Source organism: Homo sapiens, chromosome 14 (genome assembly GCF_000001405.40).
Source record: "Homo sapiens chromosome 14, GRCh38.p14 Primary Assembly".
In the NCBI taxonomy this organism is placed as follows: domain Eukaryota; kingdom Metazoa; phylum Chordata; class Mammalia; order Primates; family Hominidae; genus Homo; species Homo sapiens.
In genome coordinates, this window is record NC_000014.9 from 91,214,665 (window position 1) to 91,241,449 (window position 26,785).

Below are 26,785 nucleotides of genomic sequence, written 5' to 3' on the forward strand. Positions count from 1 at the left end.
TCAAACTTTGGCTTGGATCAGACTCACATAGAGGATTTATCAAAACTCAGCCAGGTGCACCTATAATCCCAGCTACTTGGGAGACTGAGGCAGGGGGATCACTTGAGCCCAGGAGTTTAAGCCTCCACCCCAATGAGCTATGGTCGTGCTAGCCTGGGGGACAGAGGGAGACCCCATCACTAAAAAAAATTAAAAATAAAAATAGGCCAGGTGCAGTGGCTCATGCCTGTAATCCCAGAACTTTGGGAGGCCGAGATGGGTGGATCACAAGATCAGGAGTTCAAGACCAACCTGGCCAATATGGTGAAACCCCGTCCCTTCTAAAAATATAAAAATTAGCTGGGCATGGTGGCACACACCTGTAGTCCCAGCTGCTCAGGAGGCTGAGGCAGGAGAATCGCTTGAACCCAGGAGGCAGAGGTTGCAGTGAGCCGAGATCGCACCACTACACTCCAGCCTGGGCAACAGAGCAAGACTTTGTCTCAAAAAATAATAATAATAAATAAATAAATACAAATAAAGAAAATTCAGCTTGTTCCTTTCCTCTCCTCTCCTGCTGAGCTTTTTATTCAGTAGTTCTTGGCTGGGGCCAAAGAATTTGTGTTTCTAGCAAGCTCCCAGATGATACTGGTGCTACGGGACCGTGGACCAGTCCTGCAGATAGTTCTGCTTCCTAGAGGCAGGCTGACAGACACATGACTTTTCCAACTCCATGATGGAATCTTGTTTTGCTGTTCTAGGTGTTTCTAACTGGGGAGGCTATGCCCTGGCCTGCGCACTCTACATCCTGTACTCATGTGCTGTCCACAGTCAGTACCTGAGGAAAGCAGTCGGACCCTCCAGGGCACCTGGAGATCAGGCCTGGACTCAGGCCCTCCCGTCGGTCATTAAGGTAACAAACCCCAGCCAGCCGCTCGCCTGGAAGCAGCTTTTACCCTGGATGAGCAGCAGGCCTGAGGTCCCAAGCCGTAAGCCGAGGGCTGGCACCCTGCTGCCCCTCAAAAGCCAGAGGCAGAGCCAGCCTTGAAGCAGAGGTCTCCTGGATTGGGTGCCCTTTAAGCTACTCGCAGTTCTGAATCGTGTGGCAGGCCTGATCCAAGTGACCATTTTCCTTCTAGTTTGACTTTGGGTGAGTTGCTTAGCTTCTCTGAGCCTCATTTTCTTCATCTGTAAAATGGGGGTGGTCAGCATTGTTGTTGGAGGAACCGAATGCCTCACCCATGGTGGGTACTTCATACTGTTAGTGGTGGGCAGGTGTCCTGTCAGCCCCCTCCAAGGAATTCACCACCCAGCGAGGCCACTAAAACCTCCAGAGTAAGTCAATCAGCCATACTAAGGAAAGTGCTAAGGGGGACAGACAAGGTGAGAAGAGAATCCTGTGGGCTGGAGGCTGCAAGGAATAAGCCAAGTAGAAGGAGAGGAATCCCAGCGGGAGGAATGGGGGGAGCAGGGGCTTGGGAGATGAGGACAGGCTTAGTGATGGTTTGTGGGAGACAGCTCTTGAGGTGGAGAGCAGGAGGTAGGGGGTGAGACAAAAGTAGAAGAGGGCTTCAGACCGCAGGCCCACAAGGAGGAGGTCCATGAGCCCCTGAAGCTGTTTGCACAATTGTTCCTGTACATGTATTTTTCTGCGCAAGACTCTGTGGTTTCATCAGATTCTTCAAGTAGTCTGGGGCCATTAAGAATCCCTGGTCCAGCTGGGTACGGTGACTCATGCCTATAATCTCAGCACTTTGGGAGGCCAAGGCAGGAGGATCACCTGAGCCCAGAAGTTTGAGACCAGCCTGGACAACATGGTGAAACCTCATCTCTAGAAAAAAAATTTTAAAATTAGCTGGGCCTGGTGGCATGCACCTGTGGTCCCAGCTACCTGGGAGGCTGAAGTGGGAGGATCGCTTGAGCCCAGGAATCCAAGGCTGCAGTGAGCTATGTTCACTTCACTGCACTCCAGCCTTGGAGACAGAGTGGGAGACCCTGTCTCAAAAAAAAAAAAAAAGAATCCCTGGGAAGGGACAGATCATGTTAGCTGGACCCAAGGACACTGTGACTTTCTCCCTGAGGACTCTCCCTGAGAGGCAGCAGCAGGTAACTTTTGTCTGAGCTCCTCCGACTGCAGACCCCATGCTCCGAAGTGTTGTTTGCAGTTCTAGGTACACTCTGTAGCCCAGTGCAGAGGAAGGGCATCAACGTGTGCCCGTCTAACTTATGTGAACTCACACATGCATATGGGGAAAATGCAAAAGAGAGGTGGCCAGCGCGCAGCACCCAAGCCTGAGCAGCGAGGTGGCAGCGGGACTGGCCCTTCCTTCCTTGGGCCTCAATTTCCATGGCCCTCTTAGAGCAAGCTCCGCCCCCAACACCAATTCCAGGCTCTAACCCGCCTCCTCTGGGGCTCCTCAAGGAGATGGGACCTGCCCCTCTTGGAGGAGAAGCTGGTGGACCAGACTTGCGGGACATTCACAATGCCTCAGTGCTTAACGGGACACCTACTTGGGGAATATTCCCAGGTAATTTGGACTTTGGGAAAACGGGGCCAAAGCTCTGACTTTACATCTAAATCCTGGGTCAGATGTGACTTCACCTGTGAGCAGACAGCAGCCTGAGGGATTAGAGGTGGGTGCCGAAGGTTGTGGGAGAGGGCGTGGAAGGTCTGGGGAGATGGGAAAGCAAATCCAAGAGGCCGGAGGGTCCTGAGCACTGAGCCTGCAGAAGAGCCCGAGATTGGGTGGGTGGTCGCTACAAGTCCCCTGCCAGTGGGCAGGCCCGATAGCCTCCCAACGTCTGCAACCAGACGTCCGCATTGCTGCCCCTTTTCTGTCTTTTTTTTTTTTTTTTTTGAGACAGAGTTTTGCTCTTGTCACCCAGGCTGGAGTATAGTGGCACGATCTCGGCTCACCGCAACCTCCACCCCCCAAGTTCAAGCAACTCTCCTGCCTTAGCCTCTCGAGTAGCTGGGATTACAGGTGCCTGCCACCATGCCCAGCTAATTTTTTTTGTATTTTTAGTAGAGACAGGATTTCTCCAAGTTGGCGAGGCTGGTCTTGAACTCCTGACCTCAGGTGATCCACCTGCCTCAGCCTCCCAAAGTGCTGGGATTCCAGGCGTGAGCCACCACGCCCGGCCTCTTTTCTGTCTTTCTTTCCTGTTTTCTTACACCCTGTCTCTTCCCTTTTTCCTTCTGTCTGTCTCTCCCTCTCTGTTTCTCTGTGTCTTTCTCCTTCCTGCCCCTGGCCTCTGTTTCTCTCCAGCACCTGCCTGGATTGGTGGTGTCATTCCCATTTTACAGACGAGAGACCTGGGGCTCTGAGAAGCCGATGGCTTGCCTGAGACCACCCAGCTGAGAGGCAGAGCTGGGATCCGAGTCTAGGTCTCTGTGACTCCATTCTCTGTGCTTTTCCCAATTCCGCTCAGAAGTGTCCCAGGTAGTGCCAGGGAAGAGAGATGGGGGAGGGGGAGCTCAGGCAGCTGTGGTGACATTTTCAGAGGGAAATGGTCTGCCCTAGAGGGGCCCAGAGGGCCTTTTGTGCTTTCTTTATACTTCCTGGATCTGAACTGGAAAAAAACATGCAAGGGCTGCTTCACACATGATTCCTGATTCACGCAGACACAAAAGAACGAACCCAGCCAAACAAATCACACAGCCCAACACACAGATGGAAGCTTTTCCTTCTGCATTTCTACCTAGTCCTTCATAAATCAATTAATAATGTACCACCCTTATAAAGAACATAAAATGGGGATTTTTTTTTTTTTTCTTGAGATGGAGTCTCACTCTGTTACCAGGCTGGAGTGCAGTGGAGAAATCTCAGCTCACTGCAACCTCCGCCTCCCAGGTTTGAGTGATTCTCCTGCCTCAGCCTGCCAAGTAGCTGGGATTACAGGCGCGCACCACCACACCCGGCTAATTTTTGTATTTTTAATGGTGACGGGGTTTCACCATGTTGGCCAGGCTGGTCTTGAACTCCTGACTTCAAGTGATCCGCCTGCCTCAGCCTCCCAAAGTGCTGAGATTACAGGCGTGAGCCACCACACCTGGCCTAAAATGGGGATTTTTTAAAAGCAAAAGTACAAACACATGTTTGTTGAGCCCCGCCCCTGGGCCAGGCCCAGGCTTGCTCTAGGGGACAATGAGGAGTCACCCTGGGTGGGGGACTCAGGGTCCACTGGGGAGACGACACATGACAGGCAATTTCAGGAGCCAAGATGGAATGTGCACAGTAAGCTTCAGTGAGAGGCCGGGCATGGTGGCTCTCACCTGTATTCCCAGAACTTTGGGAGGCTGAGGCGGGCAGATCACTTGAGGCCAGGAGTTCGAGACCAGCCTGGCCAATATGGTGAAACCCCATCTCTACTGAAAATACAAAAATTAGCCAGGCGTGGTGGCGGGCGCCTGTAGTCCCAGCTGTTCGAGAGGCTGAGACATGAGAATCACTTAAACTCGGGAGGCGGAGGTTGCAGTGAGCCATGATGACACCACTGCACTCCAGCCTGGGTGACAGAGTGAGGCTCTGTCTCAAAAAAAAAAGAAAAAAAAATTTTGAAAAAAGCTTCTGTGGGAGCACAGAAAACAGTGCTTAGCTCAGCAAGTTCAGTGAAGGCTGCCTGGAGGAGGTGGCACTGGCACTGAGCTGTCTTGAGGAGTGAGTAGGATATAAGTAGCCAGGTAAGGAAGGGTGGAAAAGGCCTTCTAGGCCGCAGAACCCACATAAGCAAAGGTACAGGGACATGAAGCCGTACAGTGTGCAGAGGAAATAGCTAGAATCGTCACACTAGAGTTCTGCAGGTCACTACGTGGGGGTCCTTGAGTCATCCAGAGATGCTGGGCAGAGCTGTGGCCTGAGCTAGTGGAAAAGCTTGATTGGTTGGGGCAGAGAAATGTCCCACAGCTCTGCTCAGTGAGTTGCATCTGGGGACAGGGGTTCTTAAGGATCTCACTGTGAGTGTGGTAGAAGCAGGCACTATGCTGAGGAGGCCAGATAAGGTGGACATCACTACCTGGGCACACCCTGCCCACTCTGGCCCTTGGCCCAGGGGCACCTTAAAGTGAGGGAGAGGCCCTTGGGTTGTACTTGAGGGCAAGCATTCCTAAGACGTCATCAAGGGCCAAGAGCCACTTGATGACACTTTACAGGGGTACCTGCAAGGTCTGATAAGGAGGACTTGGAGCTCAGGAGGTGGAGAACTTGGTCTTCCTCAGCTTGGGGGCCAAGGTGCTGCAATTTGGCAGGGTGACAGAGCTCTGGGCAGGGGGTGGGTCCCTAGGAGGGACTGAAGGCCTCCAAGGATGAGGCCTCGGGAAGCCCCCTCATGGCATCTTCCCCTCAGCCCGATGGAGGCCTCAGACAGCAGCCAGCCAGGCCGGCTGTGCCTGGATGCTGGTCTGGGTTAGGGCCACTCTCTTCCCTGTATTTCTGTAGTTTGTGGACTTCTCTGTTTCCTAGGACCAAGTCCTTTGTAAAAACATCGGGCCTGCCTTGGGTGAGTGAAGTGGGTGGTTAGGAAGGTCGCAGGCCCTGGCCGGCTGCCTGGTTCAAGCCCTGGCTCCGCCCACTTCAGCCTGGAGCAAGTCTCCGACCTCAGCATTCCTCGGTCTCCTCGAGTGGGGCCGTAACAGATCTACTTTTTGGGTGATTGGAAGATGGAATGAGTCCCTTTGTGTAAAGCACCTGGCATAGTATCTGGCATGGATTAATAGCAAGTGTTCAATAAATGCCAACCGTCATTATCATCATCATCATCATCCTTCTTATCATGACAAGGTCCTTTCTTTACTTTCAGTCAGGCTGGGGCAGGTGTCAGGGTGTCCCTGAGCCAGGCTTGATGGTGGCAGCAGGTGGCCTATGCCAAGGAGAGCTCCCACAGCCAGAGCAGAAGGAGGTGAAGGCCAAGACAGAGCTGGGGCCTCCAGATGCCATGTGGCGTCATGTGGGACTGTCTGTCTTTCCCCGTGTGGCTGGGAGGCAGATGGAGCCGTTTCTCCCGCTGCCACACTCCCCAGCCCGGTCCAGGCAGCCAGCTCTCCCCTGCCTATTGCAAGATGAGACCATGATTATACCAGCCCCATCTTGCTCTACGGGAAGCCTCAGCACCATGTTCCCGCCTGCCTCGTCATTGCCTGTGCCAGAGCCCAGGGCCAAGGGAGTGCCTTGTCTCACATCCCAGCCCATTTCATGCCAGCCCTTTACAAGAGATCACAAAGAAGAGGCACTCCCTGGGAGTGGGCAAGCCAATGCCAGGAAGCTGATGCCTGGGCAGGAAAGAGGCTAAGGAAACGTGGGGCTCATGGTATAAACAAACACCAGGAAAGGTTTCCTGGACTTCCCCCACCTCAACCCAGTACTTGGGGAAGAGGAACACAGCAGCTGGGCCTGTTTTGCATCACTGCCTTGAAGTGGAGGCTGGAGGGAGCTGCCTGAGGGCTCTGGCCAGGCTCCCAGCCCCTCTCTGCTCCATCTCTGCTCCAGGGCAGGTACTGAGCACCCATGGTGACATGGATGTGGAATATGCCATCAGCCCAGGGCATAGCAGCCATGTGGTTTGGGGAAACAGAAGAGGACCCTGTTATTCACATGCCCAGTGGTAGGTAGGGAGTGAGGGGCCAAAGAGTGAGAGCTCTTGGAGGAACAAATGATGACTTATTTGTCCCTACTTCAGAGCCTGGCCCAGGGAAGGCACTCAGGAAATGTTGGATGGAGAGATGATGGATGCATGGATGGATGGATAGATGGATGGGTGGATGGAGGGATGGATGGATAATAGATGGATGGATGCATGGATGGATGGGTGATGGATGTATGGGTGGATGGAGGGATGCGTGGATAATGGATGGATGCATGGATGGATGGATAGTGGATGGATAGATGGTTGGGTAGGTGGGTGGATGGAGGGATGGAGGGATGGATGGATAATAGATGGATGCATAGATGGATGCATGCATGGATGGATGGATAGATGGGTGAGCAGATGGAAGGATGAATGCTTTGATGGATGGGTGATGCAGAGAGGCAGGAACAGCCTCGGGCCTCATTCTGGGCTCCCATTCTCTTTCAGCACTTTCATTCACCCTACTATTCTTTATAACTTATTTTTGTTAAAGTATAATTAACATACAATAAAGTGTGTACACCTTAAGTGTACAGTTGGATGAATTTTTACATAAGTATACACCCTTGCAACCACCACCAAGATTAAGACACAAAACAGTTCCAACTTCCCAGAAGGCACCCCACTTTGAGCGGCATCATCACCTCCCATAAATACCTGCCCACCGTGCTCCCAGTGTGACTTAATAGCAAGCACCCATACACTCAGCCTCTACACACTCAGCATCCACACACTCAGCCACCCTGGGGCCTCTGTCCCCATCCAAGCCCTGTCTACTCTCCCTCACTTGGGTCCTCCATTCCTCCTCTCCTGCCCTGTTGTCTCAGCCTGGACTGGTGCAGTGGCCTTCAGGCGCCCTGCCCTCCAGCTGCTCCCTGGTAATTCTCTGCCACTGTTACCACCTCTGCCTCTTAGAAGATGGCATGGTCATTCCGTGATTCTTGGAAATTTGCAGGGAGTAGCTGTTGGCCCAGCTGGTCCCTGTGTCTCTTGGAGGCTGGGTGCCAGTCAGCTCGAAACCTGTTGGCTGATTGCGTGCACCCTGAGGACCCCACAGCCCTTCCTGGGGCCCAGAAGGATGAGAATGGTGAGGGAAACAGTGTGCTGTGAGGAAATGGCCCCAGGAGTCCCAGAAACATTCCCCCATAAAGAGAGGATATGACCAGTGGAGAAGAGAAGCGAGAGGAAGAAGCCCAAACAAAGGGCGGGAAATGCCATTCTGAGTGGGTAGCTCCTGAGAAGGAGCTGTTGGACAAAGGACACATGTGAAAGTGGAAACAATTTAGGGCCTCCCTCCTACAGAGGAACATCCTTCTTGGCCCCCAGGGCAGAACAGAAATGCAGGCTCTCAGGCCAGCTGTGAAGAGACAGTTTGCAGTTAACATTTGCCAATGCTTTCTCTATTACTTAGAAAAAGTTAGTGAGTGACCCTCCAGGGCTCTCAGCTGGCTCATTTTTATTCTTTCATCACCTCTGATCCTAGTTGCCCCTTGTCGTAGCTCAAGCTGCTATTTTAAAAAACAACTATAGACTAGGTGGCTTGAACAACAGAAATTTAGTTCTCACAGTTCTAGAGATTGGGAAGTCCAACATCAAGGTGCCAGTAGTTTTGATTCACTGGTGGGGACTCTCTTCCTGGCTTACAGATGGCCGCCTTCTTGCTGAGTCCGCATGTGGTGGAGAGAGCGAGAGCTCTGGTTTCTCTTTTTCTTATAAGAGCACTTCACATCCTGACCCTCACTCATGACCTCATCTCAATCTTATTACCTCCCAAAGACCCCACTTTCAAATTCCAACAATTGAGGATTAGGTTCAACATACAAAATTTGAGGGTACATATTGAGTCCATAACACCCTGCCTCCAGAAAATGTTCCCTGAACCATGCCAATAAGCTGGGTTGGGTGCCCCTGCTCTGTGCTGTGACATCCTGTACTATGACTACCTGATTACTCATCTAGACTGTGAACCCCATGGGGGCAGGAACCATGTCACATTCACCACTGTATCCCTGGTTCAGGGCCTGACACATACTTAGCAGGTGTTCAATAAACCTTTGATCAATGGTGGGATGAATGAGCAAATGCCTGAGCAGGGAGAGAGCCTTCTTATAGCCGCCCTAATGTCCTATTCTAGATTCCTTAGGTCCCCTCCTCTCACCTCCTGCCTTTGTTGTGGAGGAGGAAGAAGACAGGGAGAAGGAAGAGGAGGAGGAGGAAGAAGAAGAAGAGGGAAGGATGTGTTTGAGTTGCTTTATGCCTTCACTTAAGGCTCACTGTCCTTAGGGGAACCTGAGCTGTTCACTAGGGACAGACACATTAGTGGCTTGGGCAAGTGGTGCTTTGGGATTTTATTTTTGGAAGGAGGGGGGATGGAGGAGGATCAAACCACTTTTTTTTTTTTTAACCAGCAGGAGAGCAAAGGGAGAAAGCTCTAGGCTAAAGGCCAGAAGACCTAGCCCTGCCAATAAAATCAACCTCATTTTGTGAATGCCTGTTGTGTGCCAAGGACCCTGCTAAGTGCTTTGCTTGTACGTAATCCTCAGAACAACCCTCTAAAGGAGGCATGATGAGTACTTTTATCATCACCCTCCCCATTTTACAGATAAGCACACTAAGGCACAGAACAGTTAAAATTCCTGCCAGGAAAGACTCAAGTCAGACCTTTCTGATCCCCAAACCACTCTGCCTGCTAGGCCCCGGGCTGCGGCTTCAGGATGGGGGCTTGTATTCTCTGTGACTCTGCTACACCTAGATGCTCCCACTCCCACAGTCACCCTGGTCATTTCTAGAAGGCAACAGCAGCAGGATTTGACACATGCCCCACATTAGGCTAAGAGGTCTCAGGAGAAATGGGGGCCTTTGGCACAAAGACTATTGGCAGATAATCCAGGGCTGGGAGGAACTTATTGGCAGGAAATAGCCTGCACTGCACCTGCAGGAGGAGTGAATCTTCAGTGTTGGTTAAGGAAATGCAGGCTGGCCGGGCACAGTGATGTGCACCTATAGTCCCAGCTAGTCAGGAGACTGAGACAGAAGAATCACTTGAGGCCAGGAGTTCAATACCAGTCTGGGCAACATAGCAAGACCCCATCTCTAAAAACGGACAATCAAACTAAGAAACTATGTTTCCATTAAAGCATATTATTTAGTTACATAACAGTAACTACCAAAAGAAGCAGCCCAAACTATTCCCGTGATTGTTTCTGGGGAGTAGATTTGGGGGCCAATGAGCTGTGATGGAGGACACTTACTTTTCATGACTTTTCCAATGGTATTAGTACTTTAAACCAAAATTTTACTTTTTTAAAAAGCAAGTATGTCAAGGCAAAGGATCCTTCTCACTTATAAATGTGTATAAAAGAAATTTCTTTTTCCTCCCCCTCCACTCCTTCTATTTCTGCCCTATTTTTTTCCAGGAAGAAAAAATGCTGGGCATCTTGGTGCAGCACAAAGTCCGGAGTGGCGTCTCGGGCATCGTGGGCATGGAGGTGGATGGGCTGCCCTTCCACAACACCCACGCCGAGATGATCCAGAAGCTGGTGGACGTCACCACGGCACAGGTGTAACCGTCCATGTTCCGTGTGAGCAGAGTCCCTACCAACGGGCAGGTCTGCATCCGGGGAGAATGCAGCTGCTTCTGGCGACAATCCTGCTAGTAAACACTGGTCTTCGGTGAGCAACGAACACTCGCCTGGCCTGGGAAACTGCATGCCCACTTTCTGGGAGGGGTTAGTGCAGGTGCTGTGGACAAAGGACAACATTTCTCTGGGGCTTTTTAACTTTTATTCCTAAGACTCTAAAGGCGTTGATTTCAACCCTCCTTCACTCTGGCTTCTTCAGGCAACCCACGTGGTCTCCTGTGAGAATCTTCTCGACAGTTACTTATGGGGACACTTGTGAACAATTAACTGCCAGGCAGAGCATGAGAACAAACATTCCCAGGCCATGTAGGATAGGATACTCCAGACTCCAGTCATCCTCCCCCATCCATGGTTTCTGTTACTCATGGTTTCAGTTACTCATAGCCAACTGCAGACCGAAAATACTAAATGAAAAATTTCAGAAATAAACAACTCTTAAGTTTTAAATTGTGTACTCTTCGGAATATCGTGATGAAATCTCACACCATCCTGCTCCATCCTACCTAGGACGTGAATCCTCCCTTTGTCCAGGGTACCCGTGCTGTCTACACCACCCGCCTGCCAGTCACCCAGCAGGTGATCAGATCGACTGTCATGGTATTGCAGTGCTTATATTCAAGAACCTCTTATGTGACTCAGTAATGTCCTCAAAGTGCAAGAGCAGAGATGCTGGCAATTTGGATATGCCAAAAAGAGGCCATAAAGGGCTTCCTTTAAGTGAAAAGGTGAAAGTCTTTTTTTTTGTTTGTTTGTTTTTGCAGTTGCAAGATTTAATAGAGTGAAAACTGAGCTCCCATACAAAGGGAGGGGACCCAAAGAGGGTAGCCATTGCTGGCTCGAATGCCTGGGTTTATATCCCGATCATTGTCCCTCCTGCTGTGCTCTCAGGCGATAGATGATTGGCTATTTCTTTACCTCCTGTTTTTGCCTAATTAGCATTTTAGTGAGCTCTCTGATTGGTCGGGTGTGAGCTAAGTTGCAAGCCCTGTGTTTAAAGGTGGATGTGGTCACCTTCCCAGCTAGGCTTAGGGATTCTTAGTTGGCCTAGGAAATCCAGCTAGTCCTGTCTCTCAGTACCCCCTCTCAACAGGAAAACCCAAGTGCTGTTGGGGAGGTTGGCTGACAACTGCTCTAACTGCTTCCTGCTGAATTGGGGCGTAGTAGGGGTTGTGCAGTTGAGATTTCCTCGGGAGGGGTGCCTTCGATGTCATCAACATCGGAGCATGGGCTAGCAGGCCGGTCCAGGGGTCCATGGTAGATCTTAGTCATGGACTGCATCTGGGGCTCCATTTGAAGAACTATTTGTAGTTTTACAGCTTTGATTCTGGAAGAGACAAACTTAACAAGGAGGTTAAAGATAAAGGGATTGAAATGTATGGGCTGCAGTGCAGGGGATTATTTCTTTGGCACACTTCACAGGCCTTGACTATCTGCTTGATAGTTTTGAAAAGGCCTGGTCTAGTAAATAATAATTTGACCATCTGATGGGTGCTATTAATGCCTAAGAGAAAGATATGGTGAAGGGTTTTAAGTAATTTCCATTGGTTAGCTGCAGGCATAAGTATTTTTCCTTCTTCGGTGGCTGGCCATTCTGAGGGGAGGAAACTATGTCCTCGTGAGGTTCCCCATTCTATTTCTTCTGAGTACTGGGGCTTGGTTTCCTGGAGGGGATTACCCTATACTAGGGCTCCTTCTATAAGCATTTCTAATGGAGGGTCCTGCCTTGTGGCTCTTTTGGCTTCAATATCCGCTTGGTGGTTCCTTTCTATTTCCCTTTCCTTTCCTTTCTGGTGACCCCGGCAGTGTAAGACTGCCACCTCTTTAGGTTTCTGTACAGCCAATAATAATCTCCTAATGGCTTCCTGATGTTTGATAGGTGTTCCCTCGGAAGTTAGGAATTCCCTTCCTCTCCATATTGCTGCACGGGCATGGAGGACTAGGTAAGCATACTGTATATATATTTACCCGAAAAGGTGAAAGTTCTTGACTTAATAAAGAACAAGTTCATATATTGAGGCTACTAAGCTCTATGGTAAGAATGAATTTTCTATCCATGAAATTGAGAAGGAGGCTGGGCATGGTGGCTCATGCCTATAAGTATTCCCAGCACTTTGGGAGGCCGAGGAGGGCAGATCACTTGAGCTCAGGAGTTTAAGACTGGCCTGGGCAACATGGCAAAACCCCGTCTCTACCAAAAATAGAAAAAATTAGCCGGGCGTGGTAGTGGGCGTCTATAATCCAGCTACTCGGGAGACTGAGGTGGGAGAATCGCTTGAAACTGGGAGATGGAGGTTGCAGTAAGCCCAGATTGCGCCACTGCACTCCAGCCTGGGTGACAGAGCGAGTCTCTGTCTCAAAACAAAAAAGAAAAAAAAAAGAATTGAGAAGGAAAAAGAGATATGTGCTAGTTTTGTTGTCAAACCTCAAGCTGCAAAAGTTCTGGCCACAATGTGTGGTAAGTGATCAGTTAAGATGGAAAAGGCATTACATGTGTGGGTGGAAGACGTGAACAGAAACGTGTTCCAACTGACAGCAGTCGAGTTCAGTACTATCCACTGGGGATCTTGGAACATACTCCACGTGGATGAGGGGGTACTGTTATCATTAGGGCATAGTCAGGCAGCCGTGCATGGTGGCTCACACCTGTGATCTCAACACTTTGGGAGGCCAAGGCAGGAGGATCCCTTGAGCCCAGAAGTTTGAGACCAGCTTGGACAACATAGTGAAATCCCATCTCTACAAAAAAAGTTTTTAAAATTTGCCAGGCATGGTGGTATGCTCCGGTAGTCCCAGCTACTCATGGGGCTAAGGTGGGAGGATCACTGGAGCCTGGGAGTTCGAGGCTGCAGTGAGCTGTGATCACACCACTGCACTCCAGCATGGGTGACAGAGCAAGAGCTAGTCTCAAAAAAGGAAAAAAAGAAAATGGTAAAATGTGCAAATGTGGAATATATATTTACAAAGTTCTTGGGTTTTACAGAAGATTTACTCCTACCACCACCAAAATATTTATACCTTTGAAATGCTTTTTTTTCCAAACAGCATTTTGTTTACTAAGGCAAAAGAACAGCATTTTGTTTACTAAGGCAAAAGGTCCTTTGAAGAGCCTAACATTTATCACCATTGCTGCCCCTCACCTCACCCCTAACACTATTCCACCTCCTCTCTGTCTGCTCCCCTGCACCCCCTGAGCCCAGACCCTTTAACCTCTTGCATAGGAGGGCAGCCTCACCCTGTGGGTGGGTCAGGCCTCTCCAGTGCTCAGGCGGCTCAGAGTCCTCCTGAACAACTCCAGTCACTTGCCCTTATCTCTTTCACAAGCTCCCACTGCACAGTGCCCAACAACATTAGAAACTGAGTCACTGACCGTGTCCCATTACACTCTTACAATATCCTGTGCTGGTTGCACTGCTGAGTGACGGCTGACTCACCCAGATCAGGGGAGTCCAGCTTCGCAGCCATGGCCCCAAATGTTTGTTGAACCTGCTTAATTTTCATTCATTTCCTTAAACAGGTCTAGTTTCATTCTTTAAGGAGCAACAGTTGTGAGAATAGAACACAGAGGGTAGAAATGAACCCCGCATTGTACACACAGCAGTTAAGCGTGAGGATGTAGCACAGTGGTTCTGGGACTGACTTCAGTTCTCCCTATGCAGGGGCATGATGCAGCCCTGGGCGGAAGTTGCTGGGGCTGGGGCTCTCCAGGTCTCCCTTTGTCATTCTAGGGGAGTTCCCACAGGCAGGGGCTGTGCTCAGTGCTGGTGCGGCAGCAGGGCTGACACCTCCAGCATCCTGAGAACTCAGCCACATGGGGATCTGCGGCATCTCACGGCTCAGTGAAGCCACCTCAGCTCTGCAGCCTCCCTGACCACATGTCCTCCAATTAGGATTTTTGTCCCTGATTTGGGACTGCAGAGTTCCATGTAGCGAGGGCCTCTGATTGAGATTGTACCCCGACGTTTCTGCAATCTTGATGGCTAGAAGAGAGAAGCCCTCACCATGGTAAAGCTGCCAGCACGCTTCTGACTCATGTTTTGGGGGAAGACACAAATGGGTCTTTGGTTTTGCAGTAGTAACAGCAGGGTTCTCTTCTGGCATGGAGGAGTCTGAGGCATAACCATGTAATGGGTTGTCTTCACTGTGGGCAGAAATTCATGGGGAGAGGATTTCAGTTGTTTGGTAAAGAGGCTGACACCAGGTTGAGCCCAGAGAAAGCTGAGAATAAGGGTCCTAGACTCAGTGACACATCCAAACCCCTGACCCCGCTACAGGGAGAGGCAGGCCTGTGGTCCAACATCAGGGGCTCTGATGCAAGGGAGAAGACCCCTTAGCAGGGCCCAGCCCAAGGACCACAGGAGCTCTGCATTCCAGGATCCAGTTTTGATGCTTGTCCATTCCACTGTAGGATTCCTGCTCAGACCTTTAGTAGTTTTGCTCAGCTTTCCTCTTTTATCCTAGCCTTGACTGTGCTTTGAGGAAGCACCTGTATCCATGGGGTGGCCATGGTGAGTGTGGCTGCAGCCTGCAGAAGCTAGTTACAGGGAGATAGGAGATGACATGCAGGGAATGATGGGGTGATTTAAGGCGAGATATGGGCCTGGTGCCAACCAGAATGGATTTGTGGGACATAGGAGCATCACTGGGCATTTCCAAGAACATTGAGGGGAGGTAATCCTGGTGAACAGTGCATAGGATGCTCCATGGATAACAAGGGCAGGCTGGAGACCTTGGCACCTTGAGGGGAGAATGAGCCACACAGACCCTGCAGGAGATGGATCAAAGACAAGTGAGCCAGCTAAGCAGGTCAGGGCTCCTTAGTCCCCTGGAGGTCCTCTGGCCCCTCCGTCACTCAGCAGGGAAAGGCATTCCTCTGAGGTTGTTCCTTGCCCCTCATTGCACGGGCTTTGCTGACCACCAGCCCCGACTTGGTCCAGCCCACTGCATTCTGCTACATCCTGCCCACTCCCTGTGGCTTCCACTGGCTGCACGATGAGGTCTAACTCAGATTCGAAAAACCACTTCCTCTAGGCAAGGTGGAGAGGAGGATGTGGCTTACCAGCAATTCACATAAACTCAATGTGTGTCAGCAATAAGATTTCTCACCAGAAGTAAAGAAGCAGAGAGGAAAATGGGCCTGTTCTCCATGGGGCAGGTCAGACAGACTTGCTCTCACTTCACATTCCAGGCATCGCATTTGAAGAAGTGGATTTTGTTTAGAGGAAGGTACAGAGGGGTGGGTGCTTAAAACCTCTTAAGTTTAGGGCTGGATGTGGTGGCTTATGCCTGTAATCCTGGGGAGGCCAAGGCAGGTGGATCACTTGAGGCCAGGAGTTTGAGACCAGCCTGGCCAACATGGTGAAACCCTCTTCTCTACTAAAAATACGAAAATTAGCTGGCTGTGGTGGCACACGCCTGTAATCCCAGCTACTTGGGAGGCTGAGGCAGGAGAATTGGTTGAACTTGAGAAGCAGAGGTTGCAATGAGCCAAGACTGTGCCACTGCACTCCAGCCTGGGTGACAGAGCAAGGCTCTGTTTCAAAACAAAACAAAAAACCTGTTAAGTTGAGGTGGCTTGAAGAGCTGCCTGTCAGAGACTGGCCAGATACTCACCAATTCTGCCTCTCTTTCCTGCATCCATAGGAAAACTACCTTTCCCAGCCTCCCTTGCAGTTAGGTTGAGGCCACATGCCTGGGATCTGACCAATGGAATGTAAGTAGCAGGGATATCCGCCATTTCCACACTTGGCCAAAAACCCCTGTGAGATTCTCTTTTTGCTGCATCCCCTTACCTGTGTGGGTGAAAAGGGAAGACCCCAAGATGATGGACTCTGGTGATGGGAGGATCCTGAATCACTGCCATCACTTTGGGAAAGACTTGCCAGAAAGCAGCCTCTCGTTGGACTTTGCATGAAATTTTCTGCCCGACCCTGAAATTAGTCATCTTGAGTAGTAGTGAGTTGTCATTGGTGGTGTTTGTTTGTAGACAGACTGGACTATCGTTTTTGGGGAATGCAGAGGGGAGACTTCATGGAGAGGGAACTGAATATTATGACCTCTCTGGTATATGCCAGCACTAATATCTAACATGTAATTTAGCAGTATTCTTCTGAAAGTTGTTGAATTAAAGCAAATGGGATTGAAATCCCAACATTTCCCCAGAGTACTGGGCACCATTATAACCTCAGGATTAAGGCCATCTGTCTTAGCCCATTTTCTATGGCTATAACAGAATACCACGGACTAGGTTATTTATAAAGAACAGACATTTCTTTGGCTTATGGGTCTAGAGACTGGGAAGTCCAAGAGCATGGTGCCAGCATCTGGCAGGGTCATCTCCTGGCAGAAAGCAGAAAAGCAAGCAAGTTCTGAAGAGAGGAAAAAAGGGGGCTGAACTCCCCCAATAACAAACTCTCTCCCACCATAACAGCATTAACCCATGACCTAATACCTCTTAAAGGTCCCACCTCTTCGCATAGTTACAATGGCAATTAAATTTCAGCATGCGTTTTGGAGGGGACATTCAAATCATAGTATCATCAGAGACTACTGTCTTGCCAGATGAATTCCAGGGATGGAGGCTTCAGGATCACCAGCTACAAGAAGTGGCTTTTTCAGAAAAGCAACGAGCCAAGAGGGTCAGAGTTTGGCTCTCTTTTGGTTGGACCAGCCAGAGGAAAGCAGCAGATGGGGATGTATTTCGTGCCGAAAATTTCTCCCACTCTTGTCTGGCCAACCCACAGACCAGTGTGTGTAACAGGAAGATGAGCCCTGTGTGTAAACAGGAAGATGAGCCCTCATCTGACTAAACAACTCTGGTGAATAAGAAATAAATCCTAATGGCTTCTGTCACCTTCCAAACCAGATGGACTTTTTCTTCCACCCATCCTCTCAGGAGAGAAAGGAGTCATAATCCCCAATATTGTCCTTACTTAATCTGTTTAGAAGAAGGATCTACTCTTCTGGAACACTCCAGGACTCTAGGAGCCTGACCCAGAGAGGGATTAAGTGACCAAGATCAAATTTACATTTTAATATGATGCAGTTAATCCTCAGTGATAAACATGGCATATGCCACTGTTGAGAAGATGCTCCAGCCTAAAGAGGCAGGTCAGCAAATGTGGGCCTCTCCAAACAAAGCCCCGTCACTGAGGACAGCCCCACAGAGATGAATGCAACAGGCCCTTCTTCTCTAGTGAGGAGGGGGTGGTCTGATGGAGCCCTCCCTCACTGTGGGGAGCAGCTACCCAGCAGGTACAAGGGGTTATGTGGCCAAGGACAGAGTGGGTGATATTCTCCAAACCACATGACTGGGCTCTGTCCTCAAAAGGGAGTTAGCCAAGTTAAACCACAGAGCGAATTTGCAACACCACACTGAAGAACTGGGTGGCACTTCATGAATCTCAAGTGGAGGGAGAGAAGGCTCTACTTCACTCAAGGGCTGTGTCTTTCTTGACCATTTGCTGGGTAATCAAGTGCAAATCCCCTAATCGCTCTGCTTGAGTTTGCCCTGAGAAGGTCAACCTCTGCCCTTTCCTGACTCCTTTGGTTCTTCAAGGGCCCTCAAGACCCCCTGGTGTTGAAGACTCCCTTACCCCATAAGGACTGCAGCATACTCCCAAGGTGTCCAGTTACTTTGCTTTATTTGCAGACTGAAGTGGGCTACATAAATCCATTACAGAGTCAACACATGTAGACTTGGCAAAAAGGACAATACAAAAATACAACTCTTGACAGTAAATGAGACTGCCCTCAGCTCATCCCAGTCTGTATCAGTGGGAAGCCAGTGTTTAAGGTCAACATAGGAGGAAGTGCTGTGGAATGAGGAGGCATGAAGGCTTCCACCAATGTCACTGACCCAGTAAAATCCTGGACTGAGTTGCATGGGCTCTTCTTGGCTGTGTGGCCATTTCTGCCGCCTTCAAACTTGGTCACTTCCTCCTCTAGGAAGGGGAAGAGAACCTCCCCAAGTCATCGGACACCCTCCACAAGGATCTGAGCAGGGGCTGTGCAGTCAAAGCCAAGTGTAGCCCTGGGACCACTGTGAGCACCCTTCCCTGGGGCACCTCCAGCCTGGGCTGTTGCCTCTGGGCATCCCCGATGAAAGGGCTAAGAGACACAGCACAAAGGATCAACCTCTTCAAGGCTGGGGGGAAGAGGGGAAGGGAGACTGAGGAAGGGGTTCTGCCTGGGCCTCCCTTTGGTAGATTCCAGAAATGTTTGCTGATGCCAACTTCTGCTTCTAGCCCCTGGTCCCTTCTTGGAGGAAGCCCAGTTAGCCTCTTGGTTCTGAAGAACTCGAGTCCCAGGCCATGGAAGGCATCCTTAGTCAGAGCTGGTCCCAGTTCACTGACCAGAAGGTCTGAAGGGCTAGCATTTCTGTGGAGGTGGGCAGGTCTTCTGGAGCAGCAGGCGGCTCTCCCAGTTCTTATGGCTGGAGCTAGGATCCTCCTCTGCCTATAACTCCCTCAATTCTCCCAACCCAACACCCCCTACCTTCCTTCTTTCCTCCTCCCTTCCTTCTCCCCTTCCTCCTTTCCTTCCCCCCTCTTTCTTTCCTTCCCCCTCTTTCTTCCTTCCCCCTCCTGCCTTCCTTCCCCCTCCAGTCTTCCCTTCCCACCCTGTTGTGGGCGGGCTGCAGTGCTGATCCCACCGGGACGTTTGGACAGGCATTGTCTGTGACAACGGTGGCATTGGAAGGCCCTGGCAGCTGAACGCCCAGCCTCCCACCCTCCATGTCCTCACACTCCCCATGCACAAACTCTGCAGGAAGCAGGCCAGGGAACGCAGTTCACTGTCTTCCCCCGACCAGCAGCCCCAGCCTGGCCACATCGCAGCCGCGGCAGAGGACACGGCTTATTCCCACGAGCCAACCGGGGCTTATTCCCACCCTCGGCGGTCCCAGCGGGCTCAGCAAGCGAGAGCAGGCTTCCGGAGTTACAGGGGCTTCCCTGCCTCCGCAGCGAGGGAAGCAGGAGGCGGCAGGCCCTGAGGCCCGTGGGCTGAAGGCTCAGGCCTCACGTGGAGCCACCCGCGGAGGACCCAGGCTAGGCCAACCTGCCCGTGGGGAACCCGCCCGACCCTGGCGAGTTAGGGGTCTGGAAGGCCGGGTGGAGCTTGGTCAACAGCTCGGGCTCCTCACCCTGGGCCCCGCTTTTCCCGGAGGCCTCGGGGGCACCCAGCGGGTAGGCCTCCCTGGCCCGGCCGGTCCTGGAGCAGGTGAGGAAGGCCAGGCAGGCCCCGCGGAGGCGGGCCAGGTCCCGGTGGGTGGTCTCGCTGACGAAGCAGTAGAGCACGGGGTCGGCGACGCAGTTGAAGCTGGTGAGCAGGAGGGAGAAGTGGTAGGCGTTGAAAACGCCCTTGGCGAAGTCGCAGCTGGCCTCCCAGACGCTGCGCACCAGCAGCAACACGTGGTAGGGCAGGAAGCAGGCCAGGAAGATGACCACGGTGCTGAGCACCAGCCGCTGGATCTGGTCCTTGCGGCTCTTCTGGGTGCCGTGGCTCCGGCGCACGGCGCGCAGGATGCCCTGGTAGGACGCCAGCAGCAGGCAGATGGGGAAGAGGAAGCCCACCAGGAAGCGGTAGTAGTTGATGGCGCGCTGCCATGCCTGGATGGGGTAGTGCTCAAAGCACACGCGGTGCTGGTTCTCGTCCTCGATGACCTCCTCGTGCATCAGGAAGTAGATGCTGGTCAGCAGCTCCTTGGCCCAGATGACCACGCTGACGCCGACGGCCGCCTTCAGGGTCCGGAACTGGTGGAAGCGGAAGGGATGGGCCACAGCCAGGTAGCGGTCCACGGAGATGCAGCAGAGGAAGCCCACGCTGATGTAGATGTTCTCGTACAGGAGGATGCCGCACACCTGGCAGGACAGGTCGCCGTGAGACCAGTTGTCGTGCTGCAGCACGTACTGCAGCCAGAAGGGCAGCGAGCAGATGTAGAAGAGGTCGGCCACCGTCAGGTTGCACAGGTACACGCCCAGCTCGTTCCGGGCCTTGATCTGCAGGTAGCCGAAGTAGAGGGACAGGCAGTTGGCCGGGAAGCCCACCACCAGCACGGTAACATAGACCACCGGGGCCAGCGTCTGGTGGATGGTATGGTCGATGGTACAGCTCATCGAGGAGTTGTCTGCAGTGATGTTCCCCATCTTTGGGCCTGAAGGGGCCACACTCCTCATGGGCTCAGGGACTGGGCCTGTCTCTCCACCGCCATCCTGTTTATAGAAGGTGGTTCAAGCTCTACCAAGGGCTGGGCATCGCTGGTGGTGGGCAAGACCCTGAAAGTCAGAGGCAGGAAAGGTTTATAATAGTAGCTAACATGAATGTAGCACCTACTGTGTGTCAGGCACCATTCTAAATCCTTTACTCATTTAATTTAGAAGGTGTACTAGCCCACCAACTCCAATTCAACTAGAATATCTGAACGGCTGGACATGATGGCTTACACCTGTAAGCCCAGCACTTTGGGAGGTGGGGATCGCTCGAGCTCAAGAGTTCAAGACCAGCCTGGGTAACATGGCAAGCCCTTGTCTCTATAAATAAATAAATAAATAAATAAATAAATAAATAAATAAATAAATAACAAGAAGAATAGATCTGAATGGGAGCCCCAGGCGAGGTGGCTCACACCTGTATTCCCAGCACTTTGGGAGGCCAAGGTGGGCAGATCACTTGAGGTCAGGAGTTCGAGACCATCCTGGCCAACATGGCAAAACCCTGTCTCTACTAAAAATACAAAAATTAGCTGGGCATGGTGGCATGCACCTGTAATCCCAGCTACTCGGGAGGCTGAAGCAGGAGATTCATTTGAACCTGGGAGGCGGAGGTTGCAGTGACCCAAGATCGTGCCACTCTACTCCAGCCTGAGTGACGGGGAGACTCTGTGTCAATAGAAAAAAAAAAAAAAAAGAATATATCCGAATGGGTCACATACCAAGATGCTGCAGGGTAGCTTACGTCTCCCCTTCCCATTCCCTGGCTTTGCCTATTTATTGCCTATCCTTTATATATTTTCCTGCTCCCTTGGTGTAGCAAGTAAGGCTAGAGGTTCTTATGAGCATGTGCCTACCCTGAGCCTGCTCTCCCAGGGAGACTTGGGGCAAAGATCAGTTCTAACCCACACGTGACAGCACCGGCCACCTTCATCCACAGCAATAGGCGGCATTCACATTTGTCCTACTTGCTCACAGGAATGTACTACTTAAGTCCATTTACACTGAGGCCACTGCCCCCCATGGGGACCTCTCCAGATAGCATCAGAAGAGGCCCAACCTTGTCCACATTTTACCGCGTTCTGGCAAGAAACAAAAACCCAGTTTCCCGCAAGCACAGCCTGGACTCCTGGGTGTTCATCCAGCTACCTCTCCTCTCCTCCATGGAGCTCCGGGAATGCTCTGGACCAAGGCTCCAGGACATGAGCGCCAAGCCAGGGCCAGCCACATACAGACTGCAAGTCACTTACCTTGTCTCAGCCTAGGTTTCCTCACCTGTCAAATGGAGATAAAAACACCTGCCCTTGGGGATCAGTGTCAGGGCCAGATCAAATGATGGGTATGCAAACACAGGGCATTGTTTTTCCAGAAGCAAAGAGGAGGAGTAGGAGATTATAATCTTACTGGAATTAGTGAAAAGTTCCTATTTATTGGCTGGGTGCAGTGGCTCACACCCATAATCCCAGCATTTTGGGAGGCTGAGGTGGGCAGATCACTTAAGGTCAGGAGTTTGAGACCACCCTGGCCAATGTGGCAAAACTCTGTCTCTACTGAAAATTAGCTGGGCATGCTGGCGGGCTCCTGTAATCCCAGCTTACTCGGGAGGCTAAGGCATGAGAATCACTTGAACCTGGGAGGCAGAGCTTGCGGTAAGCCGAGATCGCAGCACTGCACTCCAACCTGGGCGACAGAGTGAGACTCCATCTCAAAAAAAAGAAGTTCTTATTGAGAATTTAACAAAGAAGATTCCAGATATATGAATAAGTTTGAGCAAGATACAATACAATGTTTTGGTTGGGCGCAGTGGCTCACACCTGTAATCCCAGCACTTTGGGAGGAAGAGGCAGGTGGATCACCTGAGGTCAGGAGTTCGAGACCAGCCTGGCCAACATGATGAAACCCCGTCTCTACTAAAAATTCAAAAATTAGCCAGGTTTTATGGCGGGCACCTGTAGTCCCAGCTACTCAGGAGGCTGAGGCATGAGAATCACTTGAACCTGGGAGGCAGAGGTTGCAGTGAGCTGAGATCATGCCACTGCACCCCGGCCTGAGTAACAGAGCAAGACTCCGTCTCAAAAACAAAAAAGAACTTCTTGGATGAATAGGTGAACGACACTTCCCACCTTCCAGGTGAGGAAACTATGGTTCTAAAGGGCAAGTGACTTGCCTGAAGCCAGCCTGAGGTTGGAAGCGTTGCTGCTAGAATCCAGGTCTCCTTGCTCCACATCCCTGCCACGTACAGTCTCTGCCTGAGACTCAGCTCTCAACCTCTCAGTTCCCAGAAAACAGGGACTCCCAGTCTCTGACTCACCTCTTCCATCCTCTTCAGGGCACTGGCCTAGAATTCCAGTGGTGGTGGTGGAGGGAGTTGCTTCTTGTTTTCGTTGTGGTAAAACACACATAAAGTAACATTTACCATTTTAGCCACTTTTTTTTTTTTAGATGGAGTTTTACTCTTGTTACCCAGGCTAGAGTGCAGTGGCGCAATCTCGGCTCACCGCAACCTCCGCCTCCCAAGTTCAAGCGAGTCTCCTGCCTCAGCCTCCTGAGTAGTTGGATTACAGGCATGTGCCACCATGCCCGGCTAATTTTGTATTTTTAGTAGAGACGGGGTTTCTCCATGTTGGTCAGGCTGGCCTCGAACTCCCCATCTCAGGTGATCCACTCACCTCGGCCTCCCAAGGTGCTGGGATTAGAGGCATGAGCCACCGCACCCGGCCCATTTTAGCCACTTTCAAATGCATTAAGTATATCAACACTGTTGTGCAACCATCACCACCCTCCATCTCCAGAACTCTTTTCATCTTGCAAAATTAATAACTCCCCAGCCCCCAGCAACCACCATTTCTGTCTCTATGAACTTGACTATTCTAGGTACCTCATATAAATGGAATCAGACCGTATTTGTCCTTTTGTGTCTGGCTTATTTGACTTAGTATAATGTCTTCAAGATTCATCTATGTTGTAGCACATGTCAGAATTTCCTGCCTTTTTAAGGCTGAATAATAGTCCACGGTATGCACAGCCCACATTTGGTTTATCCATGCATTGATGGACATTGGGATTGTTTTTATCTTTTGGCTATTGTGAATGAAGCTGCTAAGAACATGAGTGAACAAAGATCTGTTCAAGTTCCCACTTTCAGTTCTTTTGGGTATATACTCAGAATTGGAACTGCTGGATCATATGTTAGTTCTATTTTTAATTTTTTGAGGAACCACCCTACCGTTTTCCATAGTGGCTGCACCATCTTACATTTCCACCAGCAATACACAACGGTGGGTTTGGGGTTTGTTTGTTTGTTTGTTTGTTTTCATTTGTATGTTTTGGTGGTGAGAAAAAGGGGAGAAGGAACAGCTGAAGTCCGTGATCCCAAAACTCTTCCCACAGCCCAATGAATCAGAATTCAGCCCTAGTCACCCTCCTCTTGCCAGCCCTCCTGTCCCTGAATTGCAAGCTCACACCTGTGGGGCCAAATCCTTTGCCAGGCTTACATATGAGGAAATCCACTGCAGCTCGTGTCCCCAAATGGTCCCCTATCCAGGGCCGTTCCGTTTTCCGAATTTACTTCAGATTCTCCACAGTCCACACAAAATCTGCCCGCAGGAAGATAAAATCCATTCATAAAAGCACAGGCCCCCAGGCTCCCCCCAAATGGCAAATGAAGCCCCCATGAAAACACAACCAGTCATCTTGGAAATTCACTGAGCGTCATCAGGCTATAGTTTACGAGTGGTGGGTGTATATACATGTAGGGTGGTGCTTCCTCTTCCCTAGGCCAACAATAAGCTAATTCTGGCAACTAAAGTCAGAAACATTCAAGCCTAAAGAACAAAAAAGAAACATTTACTCCGTTTAGATGAAAGCACCTCCTACGTTCATTTTGGAGAGAAAAGAGGGTTTTGGTATTCTAATGCTGCAGTGCTTGAACTTAGGTGCTTCAGAATCCCCTGGGGAATTTGTTATGACAGATCGCTAAGCCTCACCTCCAGAGTTTCAGACTCAGTGAGTCTGGGCTGGGGCTCAGGAATTTTACATTTCAAACAAGCTGCCAGGTGATGCGGATGCTGCCAGCCCATGGACCACACTTTGAGTAGCAAGGTGCTAGGAGAGTCTGGAAGGTCCAGGGTTCAGCTCCTGAGTGCATGCCCTACAAGAGCTCCCAAGGCAGGGAAACAGAGGAAGCTGGCAGGGGAATGTGATCCAGCAGGACCTTGTGGGCACAACCAGGTCGCAGCCCTTGGGATGTCTCCCGGCTGATTCGAGGCCCCAAGAAAAAGCGATTAAACCTGAGCACTTACACCTTTTATTTGCAAAATACTTTACAGTTTACAGAGCTTTTCACTTCTGTTCTCTTGTCCAATTTTAAAAACAGCCATTTAGAGATGTGTCCATTTTAGAGATGAGAAAACCAAGGTCAGACAGATGAAGCAGCTTGAACTATCCAGTACCCTGGCTTTCACTGCACAAGTGTGTGTAGAGCATCTCGGATGTTCACAGCACCAAGCTAGACATGGAGGACCTAGAGGTCAACAAGAAATGGGCCGGGTGTGATGGCTCACGCCTGTAATCTCAGCACTAGCTGAGGCGAGAGGATCGCTTGAGCCCAGGGGTTCAAGTATCAGGGGAATCACCCCCGATAATTTAACGTAATTTCACATAGGTTCTTTTCTATTTCCCTAAGTGTTGGCCAGTCTGAGAAATAAAGGGAAAGAGTACAAAAGAGAGAAATTTTAAAGCTGGGTGTCCAGGGGAGACATCACATGTCGGCAGGTTCCATGATGCCCCTCAAGCCACAAAACCAGCAAGTTTTTATTAGTGATTTTCAAAGGGGAGGGAGTGTATGAATAGGGTGTGGGTCACAGAGATCACATGCTTTACAAGGTAATAAAATATCACAAGGCAAATGGAGGCAGGGCAAAATCACAGGACCGAGGCGAAATTAAAAATGCTAATGAAGTTTCATGTCCCACTGGGCACATATTGTCATTGATAACATCTTATCAGGAGACAGAGTTTGAGAGCAGACAACCAGTCTGATCAAAATTTATTAGGCGGGAATTTCCTCATCCTAATCAGCCTGGGAGCGCTATGGGAGACTGGGGCTTATTTCATCTCTTATCTGCAACTGTATAAGACAGACATTCCCAGAGCAGCCATTTTAGACACCTACCCCTGGGAATGCATTCTCTTTCTCAGGGCTGTTCCTTGCTGAGAAAAAGAATTCAGCGATATTTCTCCTATACACTTTTGAAAGAAGAGAAATATGGCTCTGTTCCACCCAGCTCTCAGGCAGCCAGACCTAATGGTTACCTCCCTTGTTCCCTGAACATCGCTTTATCCTGTTCTTCTTTCAAGGTGCCCAGATTTCATATTGTTTAAACACACATGCTTTACGAACAATTTGTGCAGTTAACGCAATTATCACAGGGTCCGGAGGCAACATACATCCTCAGCTTACGAAGATGATGGGATTAAGAGATTAAAGACAGGCATTGGAAATCATAAGAGTATTGATGAGGGAAGTGATAAATGTCCATGATTATCTTCACAATTTATGTTCAGAGATTGCAGTAAAGACAGGCATAAGAAATTATAAAAGTATTAATTTGGGGAACTAATAAATGTCCATGAAATCTTCACAATTTATGTTCTTCTGCCATGGCTTCAGCCGGTCCCTCCATTCAGGGTCCCTGACTTCCCGCAACATTCAAGACCAGCCTGGGCAACACAGCAAGACTCTGTCTCTACATAAAATTTAAAAATTAGCAAAGCATGGTGGTGCACACCTATAGTCCCAGCTAATCAGAAGGCTGAAGTGGGAGGATCGCTTGAGCCCAGGAGGTCAAGGCCGCAGTGAGCCATGTTCGTGCCACTGTACTCCAGCCTGGGTGACAGAGTGAGACCCCCCATCTCAAAACAAACAAAATGCAAGAAATGGCTGCCAGTCTCAAGGAACCTCCAAGCTCGAAAGACAGGAATGTCCCATGCACAAATCACTATCATGCAAGGCAGTGTATGGTGGGTGCAGTGGGCCTCTCTGCCACACACATTAAACACTGGTTTGCCCTTTTTATTCCCTGTGCACTCCCTGTGGGATGGCTGCTTCTCCGTGGTTTCAACCCCATCTACACTCTGATGACTCCCAGGTCTTTCCCAGGATGAAGGCATAACCAGCTTCCTGCCACTCACAGGACACGCTCAGTGAGGCCCACGCTGGGTCCATCATTTTCTCCACTGCCCTGTTCTTGGAAGGGGCCTCCTCACCTGCCCAATCATTCATGTCAATGGCTGGCCTTCAGCTTTCACCCACATCTTCATCCACAGCGTCCAGTT

General features: G+C 50.5%; 2 protein-coding genes across 23 annotated transcripts in view, besides 5 other annotated features; one reads left to right on the forward strand and one right to left on the reverse strand.

Moving 5' to 3' along the window:
* Positions 1-10,968, forward strand: part of DGLUCY (D-glutamate cyclase) — a 165,300-nt gene extending 154,332 nt beyond the window's left edge. For 9 of the 11 annotated variants that reach the window (NM_001358312.2, NM_001358310.2, NM_001358311.2 and 6 more), the window contains 2 exons: positions 741-892; positions 10,020-10,968. In NM_001358312.2, coding sequence (NP_001345241.1) covers positions 741-892; positions 10,020-10,169 — 302 coding nt within the window. In that variant the 3' untranslated portion in view covers positions 10,170-10,968. The remainder of the gene's footprint in view (positions 1-740; positions 893-10,019) is intronic. The other 2 variants (NM_001102367.2, NM_001286471.1) reach the window with 1 other exon arrangement.
* Positions 13,723-13,782: an enhancer, noted in NCBI's record as "active region_8895". NCBI's record gives its function as "activates an Ori minimal core promoter by ATAC-STARR-seq in GM12878 lymphoblastoid cells {active_cell/tissue: GM12878}" and the evidence as "EXISTENCE:reporter gene assay evidence [ECO:0000049][PMID:35858748]".
* Positions 13,793-14,072: an enhancer, noted in NCBI's record as "active region_8896". NCBI's record gives its function as "activates an Ori minimal core promoter by ATAC-STARR-seq in GM12878 lymphoblastoid cells {active_cell/tissue: GM12878}" and the evidence as "EXISTENCE:reporter gene assay evidence [ECO:0000049][PMID:35858748]".
* Positions 14,103-14,422: an enhancer, noted in NCBI's record as "active region_8897". NCBI's record gives its function as "activates an Ori minimal core promoter by ATAC-STARR-seq in GM12878 lymphoblastoid cells {active_cell/tissue: GM12878}" and the evidence as "EXISTENCE:reporter gene assay evidence [ECO:0000049][PMID:35858748]".
* Positions 14,483-14,572: an enhancer, noted in NCBI's record as "active region_8898". NCBI's record gives its function as "activates an Ori minimal core promoter by ATAC-STARR-seq in GM12878 lymphoblastoid cells {active_cell/tissue: GM12878}" and the evidence as "EXISTENCE:reporter gene assay evidence [ECO:0000049][PMID:35858748]".
* Positions 15,120-15,169: an enhancer, noted in NCBI's record as "active region_8899". NCBI's record gives its function as "activates an Ori minimal core promoter by ATAC-STARR-seq in GM12878 lymphoblastoid cells {active_cell/tissue: GM12878}" and the evidence as "EXISTENCE:reporter gene assay evidence [ECO:0000049][PMID:35858748]".
* The window catches only part of GPR68 (G protein-coupled receptor 68), a 38,259-nt gene continuing 29,341 nt past the window's right edge, over positions 17,868-26,785 (reverse strand). For 10 of the 12 annotated variants that reach the window (XM_047431792.1, XM_005268112.4, XM_047431790.1 and 7 more), the window contains one exon: positions 17,868-20,515. In XM_047431792.1, coding sequence (XP_047287748.1) covers positions 19,289-20,416 — 1,128 coding nt within the window. In that variant the 5' untranslated portion in view covers positions 20,417-20,515 and the 3' untranslated portion in view covers positions 17,868-19,288. Of the gene's footprint in view, positions 20,516-22,616; positions 22,922-26,785 lie in introns of those variants that run through there. The other 2 variants (NM_001348437.1, XM_011537199.3) reach the window with 2 other exon arrangements.